A 10,742-nucleotide genomic window follows, 5' to 3' on the forward strand; every position below is an offset into this window, starting at 1 on the left:
GAGTTAACATATTTGAAGTGCTTAAAAATGAGGCTTGTGTCCATAGATTAATGAGTGAATACACAAATGGTGATATGGACATACAGTGGAGTATTAGTCATAAAAAGGAAGGCAGAGCTGATCCATGGCACCATGTGACAGAACCTCAAAAGCATTAGGTTAAGTGGAAGAAGCCAGACACAGGTCACCTATTGTGTAATTCCATTTATAGGAAATATACAGAATATGTAAATCCGTGGAGAAAGAAAGCCGATTTCCAGGGGCTAAGGGGAGGGGAGAATGGGAAGTGGCTGCTTCATGGGTACAAGGTTTCATTTTGAGCTGATGAAAATGTTTTGGAACTACATAGAGATAGTGTTGGCACAACATGGTGAATGTACTGAATGCCACTGATTGTTCACTTTAAAATGGCCAAACTTATATGAATTTCACCTCCATTAAAAAAAAAAAAAAAGGACCAGATGTGGTTGCTCACACCCATAATCCCAACACTTTGGAAAAAGGTGAAAGTTTTTTTTTCTTTTTTTTTTTTATATACTTAAGTTCTAGGGTACATGTGCATAATGTGCAGGTTGGATACATAGATATGCGTGTGCCATGTTGGTTTGCTGCACCCATCAACTTGTCATTTACATTAGGTATTTCTTCTAATGCTATCCCTCCCCCAGCCCCCCACCCACTGACAGGCCCCAGTGTATGATGTTCTCTGCCCCATGTCCAAGCGTTCTCATTGTTCAATTCCCACCTGTGAGTGAGAACATGCAGTGTTTGGTTTTCTGTCTTTGTGATAGTTTGCTCAGAATGATGGTTTCCAGCTTCATCCATGTCCCTGCAAAGGACATGAACTCATCCTTTTTAATGGCTGCATAGTATCCCATGGTATATATGTGCCACATTCTCTTAATCCAGTCTGTCATTGATGGACATTTGGGTTGGTTCAAAGTCTTTGCTATTGTGAATACTGCCACAATAAACATACATGTGCATGTGTCTTTATAGTAGCACGATTTATAATCCTTTGGGTATATACCCTAAGACCTGGGACGCATTTAAAGCAGTGTGTAAAGAGACATTTATAGCACTAAATGCCCACAAGAGACCTCTGCCTGAGAACGTGGGTTTCAGCCTAAGAGTTGTAATATGTGTGCCCATTCACAGGTGCTGCATCAGAGTCCCAGGTGGGAAGAAGGCAAGCATACACAAAAATGGTAAAAGGCAGAAAGGAGCCCAGTCTCGTTCTTTTTAAGAAGTTTTCCTAAGAATCTCCACCCAGCGACTTGCTCTCACATCTTCTTGGCCAGCACTGGACCACACAACTCCTTCTAGATACAGAGGAGTCCTAGGATTCTATGAGAAAGAAGGGGAGGGTGGGCAAAGGGCAGCCAGCTGTGCAGCATCTGCTGGAGACACCTAACCCTTGGTGGAGGGGTTGTGGTGCTGGGAGAAGGCTTTCTGGACGGTGTGACAGCAGAGATAAACTTAAAGGCCAAGTAGGAGTTACCCTGGTGAAGCAGGGCAGGGTTACAAGCATTCCAGCAACATGAAGCAGCAGGAGTGTTTTAATTAAAAGAAGGCAGTTGCTGTAACCAACTATAAACAAATAAAGGCTTAAACACAATGGAAGTTTATTTCTCACTAAGGGAACATCCAAATCCATGATACTTTAAGTCAGGGACCCAGGTTCCTCCCATCTATGGTTCTGCCATCACTAATCTGGGTCTTCCACAATTGCCGTGCTCCTTGGAGGTGGGAAGAGCAGGCGGAGGACACGTGGGAGGTTTTAGAGACAAGCCTGGAGGCAGCATGCGTCACTCCCATGCAGAGTCCATTGGCCAATGCTGGCTCCGATGGCCACATCTCACTGCAGGGGCAGCTGGGAAATACAGTCTGGCTGTCTACCCAGGAGGAAGAGCAGCCAGTTTCTGCTGCTGATGATCAGGAGGTGGAGAAAATGTTCAGTCAGGCAGGGAGTGGGAATAGACAAGACCACAAGCAGCTTGGTGCCTCTGAAAGGGAGAGGGGTGGAGGGGAGACTAGAGAGGTGGGTAGGAATACTGGATTCCACTGACCACGTGCTGGATGTCACGCTTAGCCCTCCTGCTCTGTGCCGGGTTAGGCACCTGGTGTTTTACGTACATAATCTCAATTCTGTGAGGGCATCCGACCTGTGGGAAAAGAGCTGTTTGTTTCAAATGCCAGTCCTGCTTCCTAACAAGTGTTTAGAGCTTAATCGTGTTCAAAATACATATACAATGTTTAATACTTACAAGAATTTGGTGGGGAAAATATTACCATCTTTCCCTTTTGTGATTGGAGAAAAATGAGGCTTTGAAGGGTTTAAGAACTTGCCCAAGGTCGGCCAGGTGCAGTGGCTCATGTCTATAATCCCAACACTTTGGGAGGCTGAGGTGGGAGGATCGCTTGAGGCCAGGAGTTCAAGACCAGCCTGAGCAACATAGTGAGACTTTGTCTCTATAAAAAATAAATAAATAAATAAAAAGAACTTGTCCAAGGTCAGACAGGCAGCCTCTTAGTAAGCACACATATCCTCTATATTATACTACCTCTCATGGAGGATCTCCTGTGTTCTACAAATAGTCTGGACTTGAGCCAGAATGTGTTATAATCCTGGGATCACGGCCAGTGGGCTTAGAAGAAGCCATCTCTTTCTCATGCCAAGATGAGGCTCCCCCAGATTTGCTCAGACTTACCTATAGTCAGCAGCATCGGGGGTCAGGAAAGACTTCACGAAGCCATAAATGCATCCTTCTCGGGGCAGCACCTGGCTCTCCCAGGTGAAAGAGGACTCCATTTTCACAGGCAGGCGTGGGAGCTTCAGCACCCATCTCTGGGCCCAGAATGACCCACTGGAGACCTTACAGCTCTCCTGTCACCCCCAATTCCTGCCCCCTCTGCAGCCTTGGAGGAGAATGGAGCTGAAGGGCCTGCCCTCTGTAGGGTGAGAAAGGGAGGCTAAAGCCTGGTGCCCACTGCCCTGGCTGCTCCGCATTGCAGGAGCTGCGCCCTTCCTTTCCTGGCACAGGGTCCACAGCCCCGAAACCCCGTTGTGTGGGAGCTGGGCACAGGGCAGCAGGACTAATCCTTGGAACAGCTCAGGGAGGATTATCCCAGCCACTGTCAGCAGCGGTGCAGCTGGCTCATTCCCATATAGGGGGAGGCCAGAGCCAGGGGCCTGCCACAAGTTGGAAGGCTGGGGAAGGGGAGGCCAGCAGAGGTGTCCTGGCTGTGGGTGGCTCTGAGGGGGCTCTCAGGGGTGGGGCTAAATCTCAGGGGCAGGATTATGTAAATCAAACCAATTCTAGCCACAGATTTAAAGTTTGGAAAAAAAAAAAAACCCAGCCTGGCGGAAAGAATTTAAATTATAAAAACTTAGAAGTATGGAATGTGAAATCATCCTGTAGGTGCTTATTTAACAACGAAATCATCCCGACACAATGAGCCATATGTGAAAAGTCATCCTTCCCCAACACATCCCCCAACAGGCACTCCTCAAGCCTCTCCCACCCAAGTGCTGGCATCCTCCCTGTCCTGCTTCACCTGAGACACCCCTTGTCTCATTAGACATGCAACTACGGGAGGGGTGACAGGAAGACAAGACACTATTTCCTCAGGCCCAGTTTGGTGTGGGGAGAAAGCCTCCTGATCCTGAAAGCAAGAATTTGACCAGAGCAGAAGTAATCAGTATGCAGATTGATTCTGTGGTATGTTAATGTTTATGCATAGATTATGAGGACCAGGTGAAAAGTGGGCCAGGGGAGCCAGATGTGTGTGTGAGTCATGGGTGGCTGAGATGAGGACAGGAGGGAAACTGGTTCGGAGGCTGCTGGCGATGGGGTGGGGGTGCCAGGAGGAAGGGAGGCAGTTGTTTGAATGTCTGCATGAAAAAGCGGACGACAGCGGGGTCTGGGTGAATTCGGGCAACCATTTGGACCGTGGAGAAAACTGCCTGCGTGCGGCTGAGGACCTGCACTATTAATTTGTTTTTTAGCTAAGGCAAAGATAAATATAAAAACTGATACTCCACCCAGTTACCAGAAAACATTTAGGTATGTGTGAGACAACTTGGGTATGTGAACCTACCTTTTCAATGTAAATTCAGTGAAATCTAAGTGCAGATCCCATATTTCCAATAAAAAGGTAACATCCAAACTCAGATGTCCTATGAGTATAAAATACACAAAGATCTTCTGGACTTAGTATGAAAAGGGATTTTTTTTTTGTCAGGTACCTCACTAGTTATTTTTAAAATAGGATTGCATGTTGAAATGATAATCTTTTGGATATATTGGGTTAAATAAATTTATTATTAAAGTTAATTTCACTTAAAAATGTTTAATGTAGCTACTAGAAATTTTAAAATTAAGCATGTTGCTCACCTTATGTTTCTATTGGACGGCTCTCTCTAGATACAAAGGCTGCCAAGAGGGACCTCACTCTAGCTTCAGGGAGAAGAGAGGAATTAGCAAGGCCAAGCAGAGGCTCCTGAGGGCAGGGCCAAGGGCGGCTTGGTGGGGTGGGGATGGGATGCACAGAGATAACTCCAACCCTTAAGAAGGTGTTTCCTAGAGCAGGCTGTGACCTGTCAGTTTATATACTGAGGCTTAGGAGCCTCTTGGATGCCCCCAGATCTGCACCCCTGAATTGCCCTGTGCCCCTGCCGTCTTTGTTCCTGTGCTGGCATAGTGGTCTCACCTCCGGCAGTATCACCACCACTGGGCACAAGCTTCTCCAGCACAGCAACTGTGTCTTATTTCTCCTTGTACTCCCAGTGTTCACACCATGCTGCACTCACAGAAGACTCTTCGTTGATATTTTGTGGACAGAGAGAATGCCTGTGAGAGTGGGCTGAAGTGTGCGTTGGGCTCCAGAGACCTTAAGGAGGGGAGACCAGGTCCTGAGTAAAGTTGAAGGGGAGGGGCTGAGTCCTGCTAGCCAGGAGTCTCATCCCCTGGGGAAGTTCCAGGGACCCCTCAGAAGTGCAAGGGGACGGTGTTAGTGTTAGTCCAGTAACACAGCCCAGAGCCTGCCTTCCACGTGGGTTTGACAGGAGCCTCCTAACTGCTCTTCTGCTTCCATTTTTGCCCCTTCAGTCTATTCTCAACAGGGAAGCCAGAGGCATCCTTAACCATGTCAGATCATGTGGCTCCTCAGCTCAAAGCCTCATCTCAGAGGAAAGCTCTGGTCCCTTAGAAATGGCCCAGGTGGTGACAGACAGACTCTAAGGTGAGCAGACTGTTGCTAGATATCTGGGCTCGGAGGACTCGCCACTGCTCAAAGGCAGTGAGGATTTTCGCACTAGAAGCTGGAGGACAGGGATCCTTGTTAGGTAGGAGCAGAAAGCTTAGAAAAGTGGTCTCCTGCAGTTACGTGGCAAACACATCATGTAAGTGATAAATTGGGTATGCAGTTGAGGAGATTTCCAAGTAAAATGTTGAGGATGCTGCCTGGTTTCTTCTTACTGCTTATAATATAGTGTGAGAGAAGAGAGATAAATTGAGAAAGAGACTGGTTTTTAAACTGTTAAAATTGAATCAGGACTTGATGATTTTGAAAATTGTCAGTCTCCCCACATGGAAAAAGATGCTGAAATTAACAAATGGCTTCTGAGCATGTGGCATAGGGTGTAACTGTACAGTCTTTTGTGATTATGCATAAAGATCAAAGGATGGGAGTAGCAATGAGTCACACAGAGGTCTGTTGCAAGAGATTACAAGGGTGTACCATGCAGAACCTCTCCACCAAACCTTAGGGCCCTTGGGAAGCTTCAGTGAGTTACCCTGGGGGCCATCTTGGCAGGAGCTGAAGGTAGAAAGGTAGAGTTTATCTCTAAAAGATTCATGGGTATGGCTCTTGACAAATCGACTATGAGCCCCACTGAAACCCACAGAGGACAGGCAAAGGGTTTGGGAAAGCTGTTTCACCCACAGTGCTGGCAGATTGGTCTGTAGGGGACAGAGTGCAAAATGAAAGAAGACTGTCAGAGACCCCAAACTCTGCTGTCAAGAAGAAGGCTGATAAAACTACTTGGCTGCAAACACGTGGATCTTTCGTGAGAAAAGAAGGATGACCCAGAGGCAGAAGCCCAGAAGGCAGAGCCAAGAGACATGGAATCTTCCCACATCTTAAAACCTGTTTAGGGAACACCAGCGTCTGCCCAGCTGGATTTCAGAACCACCATTCCTTCATCCCTCCCCTGCTGCCTCTTTCTGAACAGCGATGTCTCAAGCTTTACCCACCATTGTGTGTTGCATATGTAGAGGGCAGATAGCTTGTATCTTTAGTTTTCCAGATCAGAGGAACATCCAAAGAAATCTGTTCTACACCTAAACCCGATTTAGATGAGATTCGGGACTGTGAGCATGAAGGGATCTCAAGAGGGGTGAATGTGTTTTGCATGCACAAGGGACAGGAGTCTTGGGGACAGAGGACAGGCTGTGGTGGCAGATACTAAGGTGACCCCCACAACCCCCACCTCTGCCATTCACACCCTTGAATAATCCCCTTCTCTGGTTGTAAGCAGAACCTGTGGCTTGCTTATGAAGGAGGTGGTATATATGTGATTCATGTACTGATCATATTGTATAAGATCACTGGCTGGATGCAGTGGCTCGTGCCTGTAATCCCAACACTCTGGGAGGCTGAGGCGGGTGGATCACCTGAGGTCAGGAGTTCGAGACCAGGCTGGCCAACCTGGAAAAACCCCGCCTCTACTAAAAATACAAAAATTAGCCAGGCATAGTGGTGCACGCCTGTAATCACAGCTACTCAAGAGGCTGAAGCAGGAGAATTGCTTGAACTCAGGAGGTGGAGGTGGCAGTGAGCCAAGATCGTGCCACTGCACTCCAGCCTCAGTGACAGAGCGAGACTCTGTCTCAAAAAATAAATAAATAAAATGTTAAGATCATAACCTGTCTTTCTGGGGACTCTCTCTTGACGCCTTTGAAGAAGCAGGCTGCCATGTTGCAAGCTGCCTCATGGAGGGGATCAGCTGCGAGGAGCTAAGAGCCCCCTCCAGTCGATGCTCACCAGGAAGCTGAGGTCTTGTGTCCAGCACCCTGCATGGAACTGAATGCTGCCACGTGAGCTTGGAAGCAGAGCCATCCACACAGCTGAGCCCCAGATGAGAACCCAGTGCTGGCTGACACCCTGATGACACCTTACAGAGGACCAGTTAGGCTGTGCCAACTCCTGACCTGCAGAAGCTGGGGAACATTGGGTCATATTTGCAGCTGCTGGATTTGTGGGAATTTGTCACACAGCAATTGGGAGTCACACAGCCTGTGACGCCCCAACAATCCACACCTCCTGCATCTCCCTGCCTTCACTTCCTAGCACACTGCCCTGACTCCCTCTGCCGTAGCCACACTGGCCCTCTGCTGTTCTTCGAAGCCACCAGGCCTGCATTGGCTCCCAGCCTTTGCTCTCACTGCTTTCTCCTCCTAGAGAGCCCTTCCTGCATGTATATGTTTGACTCACTCCCTTGCCTCCTTCAGACTTGTACTTAAAAATCTCGGTAAGGATTTCCCTGGCTACCCTTTTAAAAATTGCAACCCACTTCCATCCCCATCCCCAACATGCCATATTTCCTTTCTTCTTCTCCTTCTTCCTTTTTTTTTTTTTTTTGACACAGGTTCTCTCTCTGTCACCCAGCCTGGAATGCGGTGACATGATCTCGGCTCACTGCAACCTCTGCCTCCCCAGGTCAAGAGGTTCTTCTGTCTCAGCCTCCGAGGTAGCTGGGACTACAGGCACACACCACATTGTCTTTTTTTTTTTTTTTTTTTTTTTGTAGATACGGGGTTTCACCATGTTACCCAGACTGGTCTTGAACTCCTGGACTCAAACGATCCACCTACCTCAGCCTCCCAGGCTTTCTTTCTCTCCAATGTGTTTGCCTGTTTTATTTACTGCTGTATCCCCGGGTCATAGGAGGTGCTCACTAAGTACTAGCAGAGAAAATGAGTGAGCAGTGGGGATTCATGGATGGAGGATGGTTATGCTGATGAGCAGGAAGAGACTGGGAGGCTGGAGGCCATTTTCTGGCTGGCGGACCTCCAGAGTCAGAACTCCAACATGCTCTTCCTTGACACATCCTTTACGATAGAATATGTAGTCTTGCAGGAGGGGAATGGACTGTGAGTCTATTCCTATGTTCTATAAAACACCGATGACTATGGATATACATCTGGTTGCTTTAAGTGTGTGCAGTGACCTGCACAATGTCACACCTAGTAACTGGTCGGTAGTAACAGAAGTGCCTCTCCTTTCCTCCTCTTTATACATGAGGATGGCTGGATACAGAGTGGTCCAACTTGACCAAGGTCACTCTCGTCATTTCATTCCAGATCTAGGAGACAGAAAGGAGTTCTCCTGATGCTAGTCCCCAGCTGGAGAAAGTGGCTTGGTGCAGAAACATCCCCAGGGGCAGCCAGCCTTCTAGGGAATGGAAAGAGAGGCAAGAGCAGTGGGTTCGAAGCCAGCTCCATTGGGAAGTGCAGACAGCCTCAGGACAGACCTCCACCCTGGTGGGGAGCCACCATGGTCACCTGGCTGAATGTGGGTTGAATTTGGATCAGACAGGATGACGAGGGAGCTGCCACTTGCCGGACGCCAGATGCCCCCGGGTGACACACAGAAGGGCAGATGTGGTCCCGGCTCCCAGGGGAGCAGGGTTCTCTGGGCGTTGGCCAGGCAAAGAAGAGCCGGAGAACCAGAGTGGCCCCGCCAGGCCTTCCTCTGTCCAGCTCTCCTGTGCACTCCTCCTCCCCCTTCCTTCCCTCTTCTGCCTGACTTCCTCTTCTGGCACTGTCCTTCCTTGTTGCTGTTTCCCCCTCTCCCTCTTGTCTTTACCTCCTTGGGTTTATTTTATTTTATTTTAAGCTCTAGGATACATGTGCAGAATGTGCAGGCTTGTTACATAGGTAAATGTGTGCCAAGGTGGTTTGCTGCACTTATCAACCCGTCACCTAGGTATTAAGCCCCACATGCATTAGCTATTTGTCCTGATGCTCTCCCTCCCCTCACCCCCACAACAGGCCCTGGTGTATGTTGTTCCCCACCCTGTGTCCATGTGCTTTCATTGTTTAGCTCCCACTTATGAGTGAGAACATGCAGTGTTTGGTTTTCTGTTCCTGTGTTATTTTGCTGAGGACGATGGTTTCCAGTTCTATCCATGTCCCTGCAAAGGACATGATTTCATTCCTTTTTATGGTTGCATAGTATTCCATGCTGTATATGTACCACATTTTCTTTATCCAGTCTATCACTGATGGTCATTTGGGTTGGTTCCATGTCTTTGCTATTGTGAATAGTGCTGCAATAAACATACGTGTGTATGTGTCTTTATAAAAGAATGATTTCTTTTCCTTTGGGTATATACCCAGTAATGGGATTCCTGGGTCAAATGGTATTTCTGGTTCTGGACCCTTGAGGAATTGCCATGCTGTCTTCCACCATGGTTGAACTAATTTACATTCCCACCAACAGTGTAAAAAATTCCTGTTTCTCCACAGCCTCCCCAACATCTGCGTTTCTTGACTTTTTAATAATCGCCATTCTGACTGGCATAAATGGTATCTCACTGAGGTTTTGATCTGCATGTCTCTAATGATCAGTGATGTTGAGCTTTTTCTCACATGTTTGTTGGCCGCATAAATGTCTTCTTTTGAGAAGTGTCTGTTCATGTCTTTGCCCACTTTTTGATGGGGATGGGTTTTTTTCTTGTAAATTTATTTAAGTTCCTTGTAAATTCTGGATATTAGACCTTTGTCAGATGAATAGATTGCAAAAATTTTCTCCCATTCTGTAGGTTACCTATGCACTCTGAAGATAGTTTCTTTCACTGTGCAGAAGCTCTTTAGTGTAATTATGTCCCATTTGTCAATTTTAGCTTTTGTTGAAATTGCTTTTGGCAATTTCATCATAAAATCTTTGCCCATGCCTATGTTCTGAATGGTATTGCCTAGATTTTCTTCTAGGATTTTTATAGTTTGGGGTTTTACATTTAAGTATTTCATCTATCTGAGTTAACTTTTGTATAAGGTATAAGGAAGCCCCTCTTGTAGCAGTGTGGGGAGTGATTAGGAGTGGGATGGGACGGGAGGAAGAGTAAGCCATCTTGAGGCAGTTGTAACAGTCATAGGGAGAGATCAGATCACAAGATCTGGAGCTGGTCCACAAGCTCAGGGCTGGAAAATGTAGTTGTTCCCAGTTAATACTTCTGGAGTTGGAAAGTATAAAGAGCTATGTCAGTGTCAAGATCCCTGGTAGTTTGGGGCAGGGTACAATTACTCCTCTGGAGTGGATCTCATCGTGGCCCTCTGGGTGTCTGGAGGGCCCAGACAGAATCCCTTACTATGGACTGGCGTCTTGCTGGTATTCCCATTGAGGACTGGTGGGGAGAGCCATCATCACCATGGCAGTCCCCACACCTTGCAACCTTAGTACCTGTGTGATTGGTGATGGGTGAGGAACAGAACATCATTTACATATATAAAGAACAGCACGCTGTCTTCTTCCTTGAAGAGGAGCTGACCCTCCTCCCTGCTTGGCCATCATGCTCAGCCATGGGCCTGGGCTTGGTTGATGGGAGGGAACAAAAAGAATATGGGCCATCTGATCACATGGCTCTGGTTTTGAGCCCCAGCTGTGCTACTTAGTAGCTGAGTGATCTTGGGAAGCCACTTCACTTCTCTGAGCTTCATTTTTCTCCCATGCAAGAT

At 47.4% G+C, this 10,742-nt stretch overlaps 1 long non-coding RNA gene across 1 annotated transcript; it reads right to left on the minus strand.

Moving 5' to 3' along the window:
- Window positions 1-1,601: 1,601 nt before the first annotated feature.
- Window positions 1,602-3,072, minus strand: FAM138C (family with sequence similarity 138 member C). Its single transcript, NR_026822.1, has 3 exons — window positions 2,712-3,072; window positions 2,268-2,472; window positions 1,602-2,165 (listed from the first exon to the last, which is right to left on the minus strand). It is a non-coding gene; the product is annotated as a family with sequence similarity 138 member C (long non-coding RNA).
- Window positions 3,073-10,742: the final 7,670 nt, after the last annotated feature.

The sequence above is a fragment of the Homo sapiens genome, chromosome 9, assembly GCF_000001405.40.
Source record: "Homo sapiens chromosome 9, GRCh38.p14 Primary Assembly".
Lineage (NCBI taxonomy): Eukaryota > Metazoa > Chordata > Mammalia > Primates > Hominidae > Homo > Homo sapiens.